The following is a 21,148-nucleotide window of genomic DNA, read 5'->3' as shown; positions in this document are numbered from 1 at the left end:
TACAAAACAAAAGCTGCAAACACACACAAAGGTATTCTGTTTAATTGGAGATGGGTTTGCCATTTGTGGCTTAAATTCATTGCAGTGAAGGATATTACTGAACACACTTCTGGACCACCATCTTAAGTAAGCAGACATGCCACAGAAATGGGTACTGATAAATGCATTTAACTGTAAAAGTAAGATCAGCATTATAAATAACAACAGTAAGCTCAGTAGAGCTGCCAGCAGATAGATAAATAAATAACAGTAAGTATTTTTCTAAATATCAAAATTGTCACTAACTCAGGAGCTCTGATGATGAAGCCGGGCTCAAATACTTAATACAATGGGATGACACTATAATCCGCTAAATCTCAGACTTTCAATATACATTCCAATGACCAAACGATTACCAAAATCTAAAGTTCCACAACTCAACTAGTATATATATATTATCCTCCCCTCAAAAAACTCGTTTTACTAAAATAAGATTCATGTTTCAACATTGTTTCTGTTCTTTTTTTTTTAAAGAGATATGATCTCGCCCCAATGCTAGGCTACAGTGCAGTGGCTCAATCACAGCTCACTGCAGCTTCAAACTCCTGGGCTCAAGCAATCTTCCCACCTCAGCCTCCCGAATATAGCTGGCGCAACAGGCACACGCCACTGCTGCCACAACCACAACCACCACTGCCACTACCACTCCTGCTACCACCTCCAACACCACTGCCACCACCACATCCCCAGCTAATTGTTTCTATTCTATGAAAACAATCCTTACTGGATCATGTGCCCGGCTGCACAGGCATTCCCCCTCCCCTCCCCAAACACACACACACACACACACACACACACACACACACACACACACACACACACACACGTCCATTTCACTGCATTCCCACCCTAAAATCAAGGGCATCTTATCAAGCACTCATGCCTACAGACTCATCACTGAAACACAAAAATTTAAATGATACTCTACTTGTCCACTCGTATCTGCAGCCTGCTGGAAATGTGTAGCCAGTGATGTCTCGTCCTGGAAGACTTCATTACACTCCAAACATTTTAGACTATGTCTACACAGTTTGGAGGGGTCTTCATCTAGGGGCATGGCTGGGGTGATGGGAGTGCTTGAAGGAGCCGATATGACTGTCCCAGTTATGCCAGACTGAATTTTTGTGACAGTGTGTGTGCCAGCTCCCACAGGGCTCTGAAGAGTGGAAGTTGAAGTGGAAGTATTGCTTGACGGAGAAACTATCATTTGATCTGCTGGGACTGGCTTTAAAATTAAGTGGGAGCATTGCATTACCACCCCTTTCTCCTTATGCCCACGGGCATGGGAAAGGAGGCTGCATTTGTTGTAAAAAACGAGGTTCTTTGTACAATGGTTGCACGTTACTTCGATGCGCACGCTCCGTCTGTCGTAGTGCTGGGTCAGACTCTTTTCAAGTGCAAAGGAGTCCCCACACTCCAAGCACTTGTACCCACGCGTCGGTAACGTGATCCCTGCATTGGCGGGAGGACTGAGGTTTGGGATGTAAACAGGGACTGGATTGACACTGCTCAGCACCTTGTTGAAAGCTTCCACCACAGAACTCTGCAAGGACGACACCACCTGGACTCGAGACACCTTTTTGGGGGGTTGCGAGGCTGCTGCATTGATTATTGCCTGCTTTATTTGTTGCTGAGGTTTGGTTAGCACTTGGCGGAGTTCAGAGGTGGCCTGGGCACCCTGAGGCAAAAGGTTAAGGTTGGCAAGGTGCACAGTCTTTGGCACGAGTTTGGCATTGGCCAGGCTGGATGCCGGCACCACGACAGTTTGCTGCTGGATGGCGTTGGCAGCTTTAATGATGGCGCTGCTGGCACTCTGGACAGAGGCAGCAGATATGACCGTGGCTTTCACCGTGGTGTTGTTAGCGAGCTTCAAATTAATGACTTGGGATCCTGCCGTCTTCACAGCAGACACTGGGAGGAAAGCAGTAGCCACAGGCTTGATTGTGACCTGTTTGGGGGTGAGCTCTGCAGGGGAAACTGCATTGGTCACGACCGCAGACTGGAGAGGCGCCCTGGGGGGAGAGGAAAGGACGGCGGCTGATGCTGGAGACGACAGAAGGGATGTCACAGAGGCCATCACGGACGCTGTCTGCTCGGAAGGTTTCTTTCCAGAGTCAAGATCCACTTCTGGCAATACCCTGGTCACTGTTCTCTTGATTTCCCCAGAAGATGTCTTAATGGTTTTTATGCGGACTTTGGGGATTGCTGGTGTGGACCCTGCGGGAGAGGACGGGGATCCTTTGCTGCTGTTCTCACTTGAGATGCTTCTGGGACTATCCGGTTGCTTCAGGGATGGTTTTTTGGTCCCGTCGATGAGATTCTGGGATTCAGGAGACTTGTCAGCGGCTCTCGGACTGTCATTTACTTCTTTTGGTAACGGGGAGGATTCCCTCGAATTGGCCACTGGTTCTTTGCAGGAGTCTGAAGCCGCCTTTTTAGCGCTGAGAGCCGCGATGGCAGCGATGCAGGACGAGAGCTTGGAGGACGACTTTGTCTTTGATGGCGCAACGCTGGGGAGGCTGGTGTCATTCTTCTCGGAGCTCAGCTTCCCATCTAGGACTCTGTTTTCCAGCACCTTGTCAGAGCTTTCCTTCAATTTATCCTCTGCTTTTCTGACTTTAAAAGGTTCATAAACACTCAGGTTTATAGAACTGGCTTCTGTTTCTCTCTTAACAGCTTTGTTTTTCTCCACATTGCCTGACGTAGAGAGTCCAGTTTTGCTGGAGTTTTCCCCTCCGAGTGCCTTCAGCTTATCGTAGTCCTGCTGGGGAGCCGACCCCGTCAACACATTCGACCTGAAGCTTGATCGCATGTCCTCCTTGTCAGGGGGGTCATCCACCTCAATCTTCTCGTCGTCATCAAACTCTTCAGCACTGGAGATCGGGCTAAACTGGCTGAATGTCGAGTCTTTCAGTGTCACCTCAGAGGCAGGCACATCTCCTTTCAAGGACTTTGCTCCATCTTTACTGTAACTGTCAAGGGAGGATGCTGTGAGAAACCCATTATGTAAGCCATTGCCAGTGGGGTTGTGGCCGTCTTTCTCCCCGCCCTCGGAAGAGTCAATGTTCCGAACATTCTTGACGATAACGCTGACACCCACATCAGAAGATGATGGTGCGTGGGAGTCATCCTCTCCGTGAGCATTCTGCTTCATGTGGCTTTCATGGTCATCGTGTCCAGACTCAATAGCTGCTTTAGGATCGACCATATCTGGGATGTCAAATGCTGCCAGGAGGTCATCAAAGTCTGGGGTCTTCATATCCCCCATGGTCATTAATTTGAGCAGATGTTCTGTTAAATGAGCAGAAAATAGTTCCATCAGTAATTGGTATTTCCTCACGATGAGATAAAACCCCTATACAATTCACACTAACATAACGATTACTAAGAAAGAGCAAGGAGGTAACTGCATTTACGGTAACTACGAAACTCTGAGTCCAAGTGGACAAACATCGAGAAAATACATGTAAGACCTAGATAATTTTAGCTTCAAAAGTAAGCCCTCCACACTGCTATACGGTGTTACCAGCGTGGCTCCCAGCTAACAAGAATGAAGTTGATTGAAACTGCTGTAGCCTAGAAAAACAGGTTCTGGTGTAGCAACTAGAAAATGTGTCCCTTTCATAAAAAGCTACTTCCAACATATTTTGATCTTGACAGTATTTAATTCTGCTGGCAAAATTATCACTATCATCGTCACCATCAGATTTGGGATACCTTATTAAAAGAAACATACCACAATCAAAAAAGGCAAGTACAGATTTCAATATTCATCCACAGAAGAAAGAAATCAGCATCCACAGCTACTGCAGGATATCTGCTAATAAATTCCATTTGGGACTTTTTAAAAAAAAAAAACCCTAAGGAGCTGATTCTGTCCATTTTTATTTAACCCTAATTTTCCCTATTATGTTTGTTAAAAAAGAAACATTCCCAGATGATAGGAGGATGGAGAGTTTTAGAAAAATGGATGGTCACAGCCATTACTAAACATGAAGGATATATGAATACATGCAGTGCTTGAGGGATCTTTAAAAGGGGCTCTTCCCCCGACCCGCAGAGGACAAGTGATTGTCAGGGGAGATAAAGCCTCCACTGCAGGGGGCATGTTCTGCTCCCTGGAACCCCAGCCTTCCATCCTGAGACTCTACTGTTTCCTGGTCTCTACTCCAGTCTGTGTGTACTTGTCTCCTCTTACATACTGGCCTGTAAGCTGCCTGAGGACAGGCAAAGTGTCACTCATCTTTCTAGCATAAATGTCAAATAACGCAACACCAAGACAGGCACTGGGTTTATAACAGAAGAACAGGGCTGGACCCAGCTCTGTCACTCACTAGCTCTGGGGCCCTCAGCAAGTGAGGGGATCTCTTGGATCTGTTCCTTCTGCAGTGGAGGCAAACAGCCAGGAAGAGAAGGAAAGGAAAGAGGGAAGAGAAGAGAGTGAGAGAAGAGAAAGGGGAATGAAGCAAGCAGCAGTCAGTCGGAAGGGAAGAGGGTAGCAGCTGACTTCAGGCAACTTTCAGTGGAAGAATTCACCTAGCCAATTTAGATGCGTGTTCCTAGACAGACTCTGCCCTTCGGTATTTGCTGTGTCATTATCCTTCCTTCGAATCTGCTTTAGTGGTCCCTGACACGTTGCCTCCTTCCACATCTTACTGAAGCACTTGATTTTTTTTTTCTTGTACAATCTAGAAAACATCACACATTCCTAATAAAAGTAACTATTCCAGGGTCAAGAGAGAATTTCTACTCAGTGAGAATACACATGCCTGAGAAAACTCATATACACCACAAATCTATCAACAGCTGCTAAGACCCTCAGTATATTAACTCACTCTGGGGACACATCCAAACACACTGAAGAATTTGGTTAGAAAAAACTACTGTTGAAGGCGAAATCAACACTTAGGGTTCGATGGGAGCTGAAGAATAAATCCGCTTCTATTCACACCTGTCTCGGTTAATACCGAGCTGAAGAAGTCACATGTGCTTTTCTTTCGATGGCTTACTCAGCATAGAGAAAACATTCTGTGACCACTCTTCTCTCAGAGGGGCGCCTGCGGAAACAGAGGGGGAATAACATACCCCCAGCACCAAGCTACCACCGATGCAAAAAGTACACAGGAAATAAAACATTAACATCTCTAAAGGGATACTGACGTACAAATATCTATGAGAAGTCAGATTCAGTGGAAAGTCTGTGATTATGGTTTTGTTTTTTAAATGAAATTGAACATTTAAACTGCAAAACGTGGGGAATGAAAAAGCCATCTGTCAGGCACTATATCCACAAAAGAATCCACCCACTTACAAATAATCCCTGAATGTCACCACTCTTCTTTCTATTCATCATCCTGGTGTTGTAAATGGAATACTCACAATAAAGCTGCCATTAGCAGAGTATCCCTGTGATCTATCCTTACCAACCATGTTGATCTAAAGTTGGAGGTCACTGTGATTAGAAAACTCAAGACACCACCCCCTGCCCCACCAGGGTTGAAAGGGACTGAAAAGTAGATTTTTAACTGATGCAAAGCTTGGGCTCAGGCTCTGGAAGTCCCCATGGTAGTGGGGCTCTGCCCTAGTCCCCCAACTCTTTCTTTCGAGCTTCACAGGATTTTAATGTCATTTGCCCTCTCTTTATGACTTTGGTGAGCAAAAGACTTTATACAGTTTCACACTGTTCATCCCAGAGGGCAGTCAGTTCAGGAACAAAAAGAAGATAAGAGATAATTCAAATACTCAGTGGGTGGGAGGCCCAGAACATACAACCACATGAATGAGGAAAGGTCACCCCATGAAACCAAACTTGAGTGGTCGGCAGTGCGACTGTCTGACATTCTTATGAACCCTGGGAAGGTTAATATGGCTCTTCTCACCTTTTTCTGCTGTTGCACGTACAGGAACCTCCTGATTTATAAACGCATGCACAGCAGCCGTACTGAATCACTGAGTTAATGCTAAACTTGTTGACCTCCACATCACCCCATCTTTTCCTACCTGCCCAGCTAAAGCAGAGTTAGGATCTAGAAGGCCCCAGAGAGGAACTCCCATGCCTGCAAACCCCTCAAGGGGTTGAGAAGCAACTCTTTCTCCACAGTGATCCAGCCTCACCCTGTCCCCATCCCTCTACTCCACCTAAGGTTTATACTCTTCTCATGGGGGACGTGGGGGAGTCCAGCGTGAAGCAGTGGGACGTGGTAAGAGGTCAGAGTGAACTGATGGTAGTTTTAAAAAGTGAGTCAGTCATCCTAGTTCACCTGCAGGAAGGCCGACTAGAAGCTGAAAATGCATAATGGGCATTTCTGAGTGCAGTGGCCAACCGAAAGCGCATCGTGTCGTCTGAAACCCGAGATCACTGTGGTGCCTGGACTCCCCTCTCTGGGGTTGTATAACTAATGGAATGGATACCACTCTGTAACTTCACACTTCTTTTTTGGTTTATAGGAATGTTTTTCATACCCACAATCACATTGTCCTATTACCCTTTCCCTTCCCACATTCTGGAAGGCAAGAGCAAGTGTTCCATTCCACTTGGAGGGGAAAAAAATGTATAACTCCCACTTCATTTCTCAGTTATACTGAATACAAAGAGGAATGTTTATGTCTGAAAGTTTTCTTCGCTTTCCACCCCAATTCCTAAGTACTACTGTCTTAAAAATAGATTCTTTTGCTTAAAAACATTACAAAAATAAATCTCAGTCCTCTCTTTTAAAAGATAAAATAGAACGATCTCATTTTAGCTTCCCTTTCCCTCAACAGTTTGATTTTCAAACAGAATTAGCTTTAGTTATTTTAACAATGTCTTTCACTTATGCCCTATAAAATACATCTCCCTTCAAAGGCAATAATAGTCTTTTATTTTATTTATTTATTTTTTCCGAGACGGAGTCTTGCTCTGTCACCCAGGCTGGAGTACAGCAGTGTGATCTCGGCTCACTGCAACCTCCGCCTCCTGGGTTCAAGCAATTCTCCTGCCTCAGCCTCCCGAGTAGCCGGGATTACAGGCACCTGCCACCACATCTGGCTAATTTTTGTATTTTTAGTAGAGACGGGGTTTCACCATGTTGGCCAGGCTGGTCTCAAGCTCCTGACCTCGTGATCCGCCCGCCGCGGCCTCCCAGAGTGCTGGGATTACAGATGTGAGCCACCACGCCTGGCCAATGGTCTTTTAATTTAAAAGTAAACCCTATATAAATGACCTATAATTCACTAATAGCATTTGTGCTTAATGTATAATGTTCTTTCACCCAAAGACATCAACAATATCTGAGGGAATCAGACCTGTTTACAAAAAAGGAAATTGAAAGAACTCAGGTCTGTCACATGATCACTTTATTTTCTCGTATGACACAGAGACAAAACATTTCCTTTCCTACTCAAAGCCTCTGAGAATTATGAAAAGCTATTTCATCTTTGTTGGCAGAAGTCAAAAGTTATGAAGTCAAAAGAAAAACGTAAGAAAAACCTATTCACCCCTTAATCATACTTCTCATACTTTGTAACAAAATTCTTCTTCCTTTGCAATAAAAAAATTGTTGGTTTCCCAATTTCCAATTAGAGAATGTCAGTATTAAAGGCATAGGCACAGCCTAACCATTAAATCCCAACTTTAATCCTGAAACAGAAAGATGCACGCCTAAATCCAGCCAAGGTCTGCCTCCTCTGACCTGTGAAAACGCTGGTTCCCTATTTAATACAGAAACTAACATTTCCCTTAATGAAAATCAATACCCTCTAAATCATAACAGTCCTACTTAGAGAAAAACAAATCAAAGTCTACTGACCATCTTGGCAGTATTATAAAGGCTTCCCATAAAACAACTGTAATAATACAAGGTCTGCTTTGGGATTCCCAGTCTTATTTTCTAGCACTATCTGGCCACTGAGACCCTTCATTGTATCTTTTTTATTCCGCTGAATTTTTAAAAAAATAATTCTTTTATATATATATATTTTTTCCTTTCCCTTTCTTTTAGGATGGGGTCTCACTATGTTGTCCAAGCTGGTCTCGAACTCCTGAGCTCAAACAATCCTCCTGCCTCAGCCTCCCAAAGTGCCAGGATTACAGGTGTGAGCCACTGTGCCTGGCCCCAAAAAAATAATTCAATAAATGAATGGATCTAGCATGTTTTCATCTTTCCTATCTTTCCTTCAAATATAAAATGTTCTTATAACTTATGTTTATATTACGTAATGTTTCAAATTTAATTTCCTCCTCTTAGAAAATGAATCTAGCTAGCATCCCCAGTTTTTATACATCTTCAAGAAACACAGGGATTGACTTCTCTTGGCTGCCTACATTCAAATTCTTGCTCTTCCCATTATCATTATGCAAACCTTAGCTCTGCCTCCATCACCAATCTCTTACATCTTTAGAATTTCCAAGGCTCTGCACATTGTATCTCTTCCACCAAAGAAAAGAAAAAAAACCTTCTCTCTTCTCTTCCAACTGATCTTCTGCCGCTTTTATCCCACTTCAATCTCGACTGCATATCAGGGAAACCTATTTTCTCACTGCATTTCCATTCCAAACACCAAATCGGTTCAGCTACGCAGGTCGACCTCATGCTTCTTCACTCTTCCTAAACCAGCTGGGGACATGGGTCAGTTTGGGGGCCAAGTTTTTTTAAAAAATTTGATCAGCCGCGCCTCTGGAGCAGCTGCCATGGTTCACTGCCTCTCTCTAGGAAGTGCAGGCAGGGGTGGGAGAGACTGGGCCCCAAAAATGGCAGATTCTCAGATTTCAAAAAAATAGCATACACGCAGACACACACATGAAAAAATGTGGAAAAGAAAAATAAGCAGTTATGAAAAAAGCTATGGAATCTCTTAATTACTTGCCATCTGAAGGTCCCATGCCAGTGACAAATGCCACAGAAAAGTTTCATTTTACCTTTAGCCTTCACACTAATCAGACCCTGATTAAGTCGAGACAGCCAGCCCAGAGCACCTTGCAGGTCTAAAGGTTCCTCCCCGGCCACAGGGAAGAAAGCTGACACAATGGGACACCAACAAGTCGCCTGGACCCTCTGACCTGTCAGCACTGCTGGGCACCCTGATCACACTCTGCCCCCTCTCAGCACAAGAGCTTCATTTTCTAAGCAGCCTACACCAGGGTAACACATAGCGTACAAATACAGTTTATACGCACAGTCAAAGAACAAATGTATGTTTTGTTAATTCTGTATGAGTTAACAAGAAATTAGCAAATATAGTTGCTACTATCCAAAATAGTTATTTACTGGTTTCCTTAAACCTGATGATACCAATCATGGATATACAAATACTTTGCTCAAGGTAGTATGTTTTCTTCTTCAGCTAACACTTGATATTCCTGATCTGAAATATAACAGATTTCCTGATCTGAAATTCAAACTGCTTCTGGAAATATCAACACAGGAGTCACATACTAATGCCACGAACCAGGTCACGACCTTGGGAAATAGAGGAGTGAAGCCAGCCCCAGCCCTTTGCTGCAGTTATTCCACACTCCTCCCTCAAGGTTATAAAAGTAGGCTCCCCGCCCCCATCCATTCCCCACCTCGCACATCAGGAGCAACTAAGGGAAAGTCCCTGTCCCTACAAACCTCAGCCTTCTCTGAAAGCTCAACCTCCCCCACTCGGCCTACTTCTCACATCACAGCTCTCTAAGAAAGCTCACTCCCCAACTCCAAACTCTTCTGGGTCAAAACGAAAGCTCAGCTACAGTGAGAGCTCCTTTGCTTTTTCCAGGAGAGAAGCTCCAGGGAAATTGAGGGCGTGCCTGTAGCCCTCCACAGCAGGTCCTCAGCGTCATTTAGCACTGCAATTTTGTTTTTCCTTATTAACTCCCATCCTGCCAAGAGACAAGGGCTGCTTCTTTTCTTTCCTTTGACACAGGACCTGGCTCTGCTGTCCAGGCTGGAGTGCAGTGCCATGATCATAGCTCACTGCAGCCTCGAACTTCTGGGCTCAAGTGATCCTTACAAGCACCGCCACACTCAGCTAATTCTTATTTGCTGTAGAAATGGGGTCTTGCTCTCACCCAGACTGGTCTCAAACTGGCCTCGAGTGATCCTCCAGCCTCCCCTCCCAAGTGCTGGGATTAAAGGCTTGAGCAACCCTGCCTGGCCTAAGGCTGTGGCCTGCAGATGTTACTAATCTCTCCCTCTTCTAAACTCCATCCCCCCTTTTCTTTCTGAGGTTAACTTAAAAAATCATAGTCACCAGTCAAGAGGTCTCCCACAGCTTCATTCCTTCAAATCTTGCCTGTACCTTCATGCTGGCTTTGCCAAGCCGATCCTCCACAGTGAGCTTGGTCTGTCCCTTCTATTTTGGGTAATTCCTATCCCATTTGCCTAGTGGCATAGAGAGATCTCCTCCAGCCTTACCCTGGAACCCTTGGTGCTCTGTCCTCTTGCCACGCAGCCTTCATGGCTCAAGTTCTCCAGTACTGGGACATATCCTGCTCCTCCCAGTATCTCCCCAGCACTCTGACAATCCACTCTCTCAAAACCACCATTGAAATCCAGGCAGGGCTGGGCGTGGTAGCTCATGACTGTGATTCCAACACTTTGGGAGGCCAAGGCAGGATGATTGGTTGAGCCCAGTAAGTCGAGGCTACAGTGAGCTACAATCACGCCACTGCAATCTAGCTTAGGCAACAGAGTAAGACCCTGTCTCTTAAAAAAAAAAAACAAACCAGGCTGAAGGAGAGAATTTTAGGGCTCATGGAATAGTTCTGTATCACAAATGTGGTAGTGGAGACATGTTTCTGTGCATCTGTCAAACCCTTGAGAATTTCAGGCCAGGTGCGGCGGCTCATGCTCGTAATCCCAGCACTTTGGGAGGCTGAGGCGGGTGGATCACTTGAGACCAGGAGTTTGAGACCAGCCTGGCCAACATGATGAAACCCCCTCTCTCTCTCTCTACTACAAATACAAAAATTAGCTGGGCTTGGTGGTGCATGCCTGTAATCCCAGCTACTCGGGAGGCTGAAGCGGCAAAATCGTTTGAACCTGGAAGGCAGAGGTTGCACTGAGCTGAGATCACGCCACTGTACTCCAGCCTGAGTGATGAAGCGAGACTCTTTCTCAAAAAAAAAATAAACTAGAGAATTTCACTGTGTGTAAATATTAAATTTAAAAATAAAAACCAGGAATGGGAGGGGGCGTCCAAAATTAAGACCAACTGTAATTTTGGTCATTCATACAAATGAATAACATGACTACACTGAAGGGTTCAGGGAACAAAAAACTAACCTAAACAACTCAGAAAACAAAATTATGACTGTACATTGTAAGGCTAATGAAAAAGGACCGTGCACAAACACCATCCTCTAGTAAAAAACTGCTGAAATCTAGTTAGTAGTATTGTACGAATGATAATTTTTTAGTTTTCACAAGTGTGTTAGAATTACAAGATGTGACCTTTAAGTAAAGTTGGGTAAATGAGTACACAGAAATTCTCTGTCCTATTTTTGCAACATTTATTTTTTCTTTTTTTTGTAGAGACAGGGTCTTGCTATGTTGTCTAGGCTGGTTACTCCTGGGCTCCAGTGATCCTTCCACCTTGGCCTCCCAAAACACAGGGATTACAAACATGTGAGCCACTGTACCCAGCCAAAACTTTAAGTTAAAATTATTTCAACCTAAAAGTTAAAAAGGGAAAACCCAGGCTATGTGACATAATACAAAGGAGACAGCTTTGGAGATGAAATCCTTGCTGCCCTATTTACTACTATTAGCTAGTGACCTGAGGTGGCCATAGCGCCTCCCTGAGTGGCCCTTCCTCCTGGGTCCAAATGAAAGTGCATGCCGTCGCTGAATAGTGTAGTCTCACAGCCAGAAAACACTCCAGCAACGATCCATTCCCAATCCGTGTTCCCGCGTGCCTGTTTTTGCTGCTAATCATCTTTCATGTTGCCTGTGACCTCTGCAGAATTTCATTTTCTGGTCATCCTTTCCTCTCGTGGACCCCACAGCACTGCCTCAAGCTCACCTGGCTTTTCCTGACTCACTGGCTCTTCCTCTTCTCTCCTTTCATGAGTCCCTTCAGATTCTCTTTTGTTATCTACCTTTGTTGAAAGGCAACCTCAGCAACTCCCATGGTCACAACAGTCAGAACAAACGGGTTTCTATCTTTAGTCCTAATTCTGCCTTAAGAGTCGTCTTTCCATTGCTGGGATGATATTCTGCTTGGCTCTCCCTACACGAGGTCAAACTTAAAACTAAAGCCCTCATATTCCCTCCCAACATGTTCCTCTAAATCCTATGTTTTGTCAATGACCTTCACCTGCTCTAGGAAAACATTAAAAATCTTCAGGCAGGCTGGGCGCGGTGGCTCACGCCTATAATCCCAACACTTTGGGAGGCTGAGGTGGGCGGATCACCTGAGGTTGGGAGTTTGAGACCAGCCTGACCAACATGGAGAAACCCTGTCTCTACTAAAAATACAAAATTAGCCAGGCGTGGTAGTGCATGCCTGTAATCCCAGCTACTCAGGAGGCTGATGCAGGAGAATTGCTTGAACCCAGGAGGCAGAGGTTGCAGTGAGCCGAGATCGCACCACTGCACTCCAGCCTGGGGGACAAGAGCGAAACTCCATCTCCAAAAAAAACATCTTCAGGCAGCATTTCACAAACCATAAAACACAGATACTAGTTCTGTAGGATGTTATTAGGTCTTTCACAAAGACAAGACTGAAATGCACATAGCAAATGCTGGATTTTCTGAAGTTAAACAGATTTCTTTCAGGCAAGAGCCACTATTATGCTAATGAGTATTACAAATCTCCAAAAACACGGATGTCAGTAGTCACCAAATTTTGATCTAACTGCAGGTCATTTTTTCTGATCCATGAATACAAATGCCAAAATGATTTCCCAAAAGGCTGCAGAAACTTTTATTGTTGCAAATTATGCATTAGAGTTACTTTTACTGCATCTTGTCCCTCAACTTCATAAGCTAATGTCATTATTAGCTAATATCAAAGGCAACAAAAAGATGCCTTACTGTATTTCACTTTTCCTATTATTTGAATGTTTATTTTTTTCTCTTATGTTTTTGCTAGTTATAAATCAATGAATGATGAATGAATGGATGCAGGGAGCTGATGAATTTCCTGTTTATTTCTTTCTTCAGCTCTATGAAACAACTTACCGATCTACACTCTCGTCATTTATTAATAAGCAAGGACATACAAAGCCTATCCATACAGTTCCCTGAAATAAATTGTCTATGGACAAACTTTCATGAAGAAAAAGAGCATTTAACATCCCAGCTACACAACACACAAACAATAAGTGGGAGAGCACAACACCCGTGGCAACATGATTCCATTCCAGCACCAGCATTCCCTTTGTTCCTGGCTTGTGTCCAAAAATTTTCCACCTAAAAAATGAGGATAACAGCATACACTCAACCCCAGGGATATGGAAAGGGGCTACTGATATTTAGAGGGAGCCTTGTCATAATTAAACACACAGCACAAAACAGCATAACATTCAAACAATGAGTGACCAGTGGTTAGAGAATGTCAAAGAATACTCCTACCCTTTTCATTTAAGAATCACAGAAAAGAGACCTACAACCAGGCAGGAGACCTATTTGGCCAGTATCACATTCAGGAAAACAGTCTGTGGTCATCTCATTTATTAACCTTCCTAGTCAGACTGCGGCTTTCAGCAAAAGAAGGAAAGAAGGTAAGTGGGCATCATCTTTATGGGGAAGGACTGGTGCTAGAAGTCTTGTGGGAAGCTCAGGGGCTCACCTTGTCAAAAACAGAACTCACTGGCTGGGAGTGAGCCTTGGGAGAGATCAGAATTAGAGGATGAGGCACAAATGAGAAATCTACCACGTCAGGACCTGGGAGGCAGACGGAAGACATGCTGACCGGAAGCACAGCTACCTGACCATCCTCTCCTGAACCCTCCTGATCTTTGCAACCCCCAAATGACCACAAAATTATGAATATACACAGACACAACACTTCACTGGGTATAAAACTTCTCCGCCGGGATCGCACCACTGCACTCCAGCCTGGGGCAACAAGAGTGAAACTCCATCTCAAAAAAAAAACAAAAAACTTCTCGGCTGGGTGCAGTGGCTCACACCTCTAATCCCAGCACTTTGGGAGGCCAAGGTGGGCAGGGGGGATCACGAGGTCAGGAGTTCAAGACCAGCCTGGCTGACATGGTAAAACCCCATCTCTACTAAAAATACAAAAATTAGCCAGGCGTGGTGGCACGCGTCTGTAATCCCAGCTACTCAGGAGGCTCAGGCAAGAGAATCGCTTGAGCCCAGGAGGCGGAGGTTGCAGTGAGCCGAGATCATGCCACTGCACCCTAGCCTGGGCAACAGAGCGAGACTCCGTCTTTAAAAAAACAAACAAACAAAAAACTCATAAGCAGCAGCAGCAGCCTTAATGGTCATATCTGAAAGGACCCCTGCTTCTCTGCACCCTGCAAAACATGAGGCTGTCTCCTCTGTAGATAGGTGGAGGAGGAGGTGAGACCTGTGAGCCATCTTTTCCAGGTCCTCAGGAACCTCGCAAGTGAGTTTTCTCAAGGGAACCCCAAGAATTATACAGAAATGCAAAACTCTGACATTTGGGTCTTTGTTAAAATTTAACATTAATAAGTTTTTAACTATTTCACTATGGTTCATAAATCTGTAAAGTTCCTGGATGCTGTAATAAAAGACAAATCACAGTCCAAAAACACTATCAATCCAAATTCAATCTTTACAGCCAGATTCCTACATAGTATTAATACTGGAATTCAGATCACATAAAGAAGCAGCCAATTTCTCTTTCAAGTAATAATAATTTTGTATTAGCTTGGTCTTCTAAAAATCTGACAGCTGTAAAAATCAGAGCTGGGCAATCTATGGCAAAATTAGATAGGAAAAAGAAGAAAGTGAGGTCATGGGAGAAGGTGAACCCAGCACCGGTGCAGGTGCCTGACAACAACCAAAAGTGAGGAAGACAACCTGCCCGGAGCTGCATTTCCCACACCATTCTCCACTGAACGAAGCCAGGGCTCCTCGGAGAAATGACCGATCTAGGAATGGGCAGGAAATGCACCTACCAATGAATCTTATAGTGTCAGAAGGTAAGAAAGAGCTGAATGTCCCCCTGCCTCCAAAAAAAACAAAAAAACTACACTGATGGGGCGTGTCAAAGGGACATAGAAGCCCATGGAAAACTGGAACAATCCGAGCAACAAAATAAAGTAGTGTTGTGTTACAACCCAAAATATTAAATAAATATCCATGAATGCATACTGATATAAATGATGGAATAACTAAACAGGATATGCAAACCATCCCCTGTGCAGAAGTTCCAAAGTAATTTATGTAGATGCCCCACCCTTATGCAGTGAAGAACTCCCTGCCCCTTCAATGACTTTCTTCCGAGGACAGTACGGAAAGGGGAGAAAAAAGCAACTTTACCACGGAGAAAGAAACCTGATGAACACAACCTCAGCCAGGTGGTCAAGGTCAGCATCAACTGTGGTAAGTTACACGGACAGTATGTCCCCGGGCTGTGATGAGAATGGCACACTGCCTCCGAGACCTTCTTCCCAGAGACACACTACCCCAGCCTGACCACAGGAGACACATCAGACAAATCCCAATGGTGGGACCTCCTACAACATCCCTGACCAGTATTCCTTACAACTGTCAAGGTCATCGAAAACAAGGGAAGTCTGAGAAATGGTCATGGCCAAGTAAAGTCTGAAGACTAAATGTAATGTGATATCCTAGACGGACTCCTGGAACAGAAAAAGGACAATAGGTAAAAACTAAGGAAATCCAAATAAGGCACAGACTTTAGTTGTTGGTGGTTGGTTGCTTTTAAAGTAAGATAGAAATAGTGAATAGTTAAAGAGAACCGGCCAAGCATGGTGGCTCACACCTATAATCCCAGCATGTTGGGAGGCCAAGAGCTCACAAGTTTGAGACCAGCCTGGACAACATGGCAAAACTCCATCTCTACAAAAAATACAAAATTTAGATGGGCGTGGTGGAGCACACCTATAGTCCCAGCTACTCCAGATGCTGGAGTGGAAGGATAGCTTGAGCCCTGGAGGCAGAGGCTGCAGTGAGTATGTTTGTGCCATTGCACTTCAGCCTGGGCAACAGAGCCAGACCTTGTCTTAAAAAAAAAAAAAAAGAAAGAAAAAAAAATGGAGAACCTGGGAATGTGAAAATGCAGGGGAGAGCCGGGATGAGACGTTGTATACTATAATCCTTTTACTTCCAAAGAATATTGGCGAAAAGCAACCTAAAAAAAGAAGTAATTCGTACAGTGTTTAACAGCTCTGGATATTGGCTTTCCATTTTCTCCTCTCACCAGTAAACTGCCTCAAGGTCAGCGACTAATCAAAATGATGTAGCAACTTTTAAACCATAGGTTATTAGAAACACAATTTTCAGGCCGGGTTTGGCAGCTCACACCTGTAGTCCCAGCACTTCCAGAGGCCGAGGCAGGTAGACCACTTGAGGCCAGGAGTTCAAGACCACACTGGCCAACATGGTGAAACCCTGTCTATACTAAAAATACAAAAATTGGCCGGCCATGGTGTCACGCACCTGTAGTCTCAGCTACTCGGGAGGCTGAGGCACGAGAACTGCTAGAACTCTGGAGTCGGAGGTTGCAGTGAGCGAAGATCGTGCCACTACACTCCAGCCTGGGTGACAAGAGTGAGACCCAGTCTCAACCAAAAAAAAAAAAAAAAGAAAGAAATAGAATTTCAAAAGTTTGCATTCTCTATGATTTCTGCACACAAAATCATTCAGATTATCTTCCACGACTACAGCCAGCCCCAGTCTGTGGCCGGAGATGATAAATGATTTATTTGGTTTATCTTTTTGGCCAATGGTACGCAACACAACAACTGGATCACTGATCACTTAATATATGAAATAACAGCTTATTAAAAAACAATAGGTCCCTCCTAAGAATTTGGTTATAGGGATCACAAGGAAAGAAATTATTTCTCTCTCTCTCTCCATCCTTCAGGTATCGTCTAACAATGCCAGCCTTTCCTTCCACAACAGCAATATAACTGGGGTTTCAATTCTAAAAATTAACACCGATAAATAGGAACTACCGTTTCCCTTTAAAATATAGCCAGGTGTACATTTAGCTTTTTTTAATCATGGTAAAACACACAAAACATAAAATTTACCATCTTAACCATATACATTATTTTTTTTTTTTTTGAGACAAGGTCTCACTAGGTTGCCTAGGCTGGCATGCAGTGGCGTGATCTCGGCTCACTGCAGCCTCCCCCTCCCAGGCTCAAACCATTCCTCTCACCTCAGACTCCCAAGTAGCTGGGACTACAGGTGCACACCACCACACCTGACTAATTTTTATATTTTTTGTAGATACAAGGTCTCACTATGTTGCCCAGGCTGGTCCCAAACCCCTGAGCTGAAGCAATTCGCCTGCCTCGGCCTCCCAAAGTGCCGTGATTACAGGCATGAACCACCATGGCCAGCTGCATTTAATTTTTATATGAAGAACATATTGAACGATAAAAGCAAAAAGGCCACCTATTATTACTAAGGGAGAGCATGCAGGGGAAGTTTTAAAAAATTAGTTCAACTGTTCCCAATGTATGCTGAAATTTTCTTAAATTTCTTAAATCTCTAAAGGGCAATCTATAAATGCACACATTGTCCACGGTTTAAACTTCAGACTTCTGATTTTTTAAAACTGTATTCACTAAACACCCCCACATCAAACCACAGTCACTTCACTTCAGAGAGGTTCAAATCTGGTTTTTGTTTTTCTTGAGATATCTAGTTCAAGTGCCTTGCGGGTATGTACAATCAGATATCCCACAACCATTTCAGCTTTCTTAAACTAACTTCGTCATCTCTTACTCAATATCAGACTCCTCTCTTTCAATACCATTATTTTCTCAAACTAAGAATTTCACCTCCAATTCTTCTCCCTGGGCCCTGCCCACTTCCCTGGCGCTATTTTGCAGATGCGCCCTCATTCTCTTTATAATCGCTGTCGGTCCTCTATTTTGACCATCTCACCTCACACCGAGACCAATGCTCTGTTCTCCCTGTCTCCAGCCTCTTGTTCAGAATTTCCAGATAAATTTTTCTAAAATTCCTTTTAATTATAGCTATCACTCCTCCTATTAAAAATCCTGGAATCACCTTCCAAATTAAGTCCAAACTTCTTGGCCTCACACCAAATTCCCAATACAATCTGCCCCCAACCATGAGCTGCTGCGGTTCCGCGTGTGTTTTTCGCAGGCCCAGCTTTCCTTCTTAGTTTGCCCTTCTGGATAGCCTCTGACCTGGAATGCCTCCCCCAACACACACTTATCTCCATTAGCCAAGTATGAAGAACTCATTCTTCAGGTTCTACTGAAGGAAGAGCCTCAATTTCCTCATCTTCCAAAAGGGGAACTAATAGTTAACAGCCGTATCACAGGGTTATTCTACAAATGGAAACAAGTAACATGGAAAGTGCCAAGCACACAGACATTAAAAGGCTATTTTCTTCCTTTATTTTTTCTAAAAATTAAATGGGAAAAACTAAATTAATATTCTTGAGAAGAGAAAGTGAAGAAGTTGTGAGGTGATGATGGTATGATCAGAGGAAAAAGAAAAACGAGGGGATTCTTGGGTACTTCGCAGAGTGCTGGCACCGGTTCCCTACTGCATTTCATTCACTTTCAAAAGCACAGCCTTTCTCCTAATGTGGATGTGCCTCCAGTCCTACTCTAGGTATCGGCCACTAGAAGGATCACCTGGGGCCAGGTGTGGTGGCTCACCCCTATAATCCCAGCACTTTGGGAAGCCGAGGCAGGTGGATCACCTGAGGTTGGGAGTTCGAGACCACCCTGACCAACATGGAGAAACCCTGTCTCTACTAAAAATACAAAATTAGCTGGGTGTGGTGGCACATGACTGTAATCCCAGCTACTCGAGAGGCTGAGGCAGGAGAATCGCTTGAACCCGGGAGGTGGAGGCTGCAGTGAGTCGAGATCACACCATTGCACTCCAGCCTGGGCAACAAGAGCAAAACTCCATCTCAAAAAAAAAAAAAAGAAGGAGAAGGGTCACCTGGAGTCAGAAACGAAAAAGAATACACAGGTTTCTCTTAAAAGGCAGCAAAATGATCACGCCACTGCACGCCAGTCTGGGGCAACAGAGGGAGACCCTATCTCAAAAAAAGGGCAACAAAATTTCATCAATCCACAAAACATCTCAGCATTTCTGGGTCCCCTGTGACTCTTGCTTTTGACTTTGAGACTTGTGTCTTCCCCATCAAGCACTAACCAAAGATGGGCTATGATCTTAACCGCCCCCGTCTAACCCTGCCCACCCCACACCTCCACACCATGCTGACACAGACAACACCGCTGCACAGGGCCGGGCTCACAGACCAGGCCCCACAGAGAGCAGAGCACTGGGATGCGCAGCCACAATGTGACATGGGCCAGGAACCCCAAACCATAGCAGTGGTACCCATGCCCCGAAACAAACACTCTAAGAGAAGCTGGAGGAGAACAGGCATGGAGAAACCGCTGTTAGAGAGAAGACAAAGAGGAAGTGGGCTAAGAAGTCCTCACCATGCTGTTAAGGTGTCTACTCCTAGCTGTCCAGTTCTCTGGAAGGGAGGCAGCCTCAGGGAGGGAAGCCAGTGGGCACCCACTGGCCAGGCGACCAGCAAGTCAGCACTAGCCAGGCAGGCTGTGAGAGCAGGGTGGGGTGCGAAGCCAACAGAGAAATCCTGGAGCTCCAGAGGAGATGGGGACAGGGTTCTCCAGAAGCAGCCAGGATGATAAGAGGCCAGTACCCATTCAGGGCAATCCTTAGGCCATGCTAACTGGTGACTCCACCCCTGCAGGTGGACTCATCGTCACTTGTAATAGGTACTGTTGTCTGCTTGTGTATTTGTCTTCTCTCCCTCACTGGTTTAAAGTTCCAGATTCCACTTTGCAAAATTACCCACACCAGTGCTCTCCAAAGAGCAGGTGCTGGCTAAAGAGCAAATGCATCATAGTAAAATATATTAAGCGCCTAAAAGTCCTATGTATTTTCACACAGCCCACAGCCTCTACTTCTGAACCAAGAAGATATCGGAGGGGCGTGGACTCAGCTCCCCAAGGCGACTCCTCTGCACAATGGCTCTACAGACACTTGAAAACTGCCAGAGGCCGAGCGCAGTGGCTCACGCCTGTAATCCCACTTTGGAAGGCTGAGGCGGGAGGACTGAGGTCAGCCGTTCAGGACCAACCTGGCCAACATAGCTAGACTCCATCTCTAAAAAAGAAAAAAAGAAAAGTGCTAGAAGCCAAGAGGAGACGAAGGCCACTGATGTGGGCTTCACAACGCCCAGCTCCAGAAAAGAGAAGTTCAGGTCAAACAGAGACATTAAACAAGGGCATAAGAAGGAAAAGAAAGAGACCCAGAGGAAAGGTCCCATCTCGGCCATGGGTCAATACTATGAAGGTAGAAATAGAAACAGGCAGATGGTTTTTGAATTTTAATATTTTATACATGGCAAGGACTGCCCATGAAACAAGGCTGAGTGAATTCACGAGTTTCTTTCCCTTCCCTCCTGAAACCCTACAAAGATGGCATTAAAAGTATTTTTTTTTTAATTTAAATAGGCAAATAGAGACAGGAAGTAAGTGGTTGCTTAGAGCTTGGGGGTTGGGAACTGGGCATCATGGCTAAAGGATACAGGGTTTCTTTCTGAGGTGATGAAAATGTCCTAAAATTGACTGGTGGTGACTGTACAACTCTGTGAACATGTTAAAAATGACTGACCTGTGTGCTTTAAAGAGGCAGGTGGCATGGTATGTGAATTGTATGTCAATAACGGTTGCCAAAAACAATATGCTGTGAGAATGGAGTCAAAGCCAAGGTGAGGCATCAACAAAGTTTGGGGAAGAGGAGGAGGACAGGGAGGGGCAGGTGACCACCAGATCATGAAGCTCCGTCCTAAGGTCTGGTAGGAGGCTGCCATGGAGGTGGGGACGGTCAGTCCTACAGCTGCAGAGACAGCCAGGCCCTGGAGCCAGCAAAGAAAGCAGGGAGCAGGGCAGGGCTAGAAACAGGGAGCCCCCGACCCTTCATCAGCT

General features: G+C 44.8%; 1 protein-coding gene across 62 annotated transcripts in view, besides 1 other annotated feature; it reads right to left on the bottom strand.

Annotated features, from left to right (window-relative positions):
• The window catches only part of ZNF532 (zinc finger protein 532), a 123,557-nt gene that overhangs the window by 64,880 nt on the left and 37,529 nt on the right, over positions 1–21,148 (bottom strand). For 48 of the 62 annotated variants that reach the window (NR_148459.2, NR_148460.2, XM_047437584.1 and 45 more), the window contains one exon: positions 968–3,330. Coding sequence is in view for 58 of the 62 variants with exons in the window: in XM_047437584.1 (XP_047293540.1) it covers positions 968–3,330 (2,363 nt within the window). In the remaining 4 variants the exon portion in view is untranslated. Of the gene's footprint in view, positions 1–967; positions 3,331–4,575; positions 5,097–21,148 lie in introns of those variants that run through there. The other 14 variants (XR_007066180.1, XM_047437599.1, XM_047437598.1 and 11 more) reach the window with 7 other exon arrangements.
• Positions 5,557–6,067: an enhancer, noted in NCBI's record as "H3K27ac-H3K4me1 hESC enhancer chr18:56582766-56583276 (GRCh37/hg19 assembly coordinates)". NCBI's record gives its function as "activates a minimal SCP1, AML or CMV promoter by ChIP-STARR-seq in primed H9 embryonic stem cells {active_cell/tissue: H9 hESC(primed)}" and the evidence as "EXISTENCE:reporter gene assay evidence [ECO:0000049][PMID:30033119]".

Source organism: Homo sapiens, chromosome 18, assembly GCF_000001405.40.
Source record: "Homo sapiens chromosome 18, GRCh38.p14 Primary Assembly".
Taxonomy (NCBI): Eukaryota; Metazoa; Chordata; class Mammalia; order Primates; family Hominidae; genus Homo; species Homo sapiens.
This window is presented reverse-complemented; position numbering and strand designations above follow the sequence as displayed.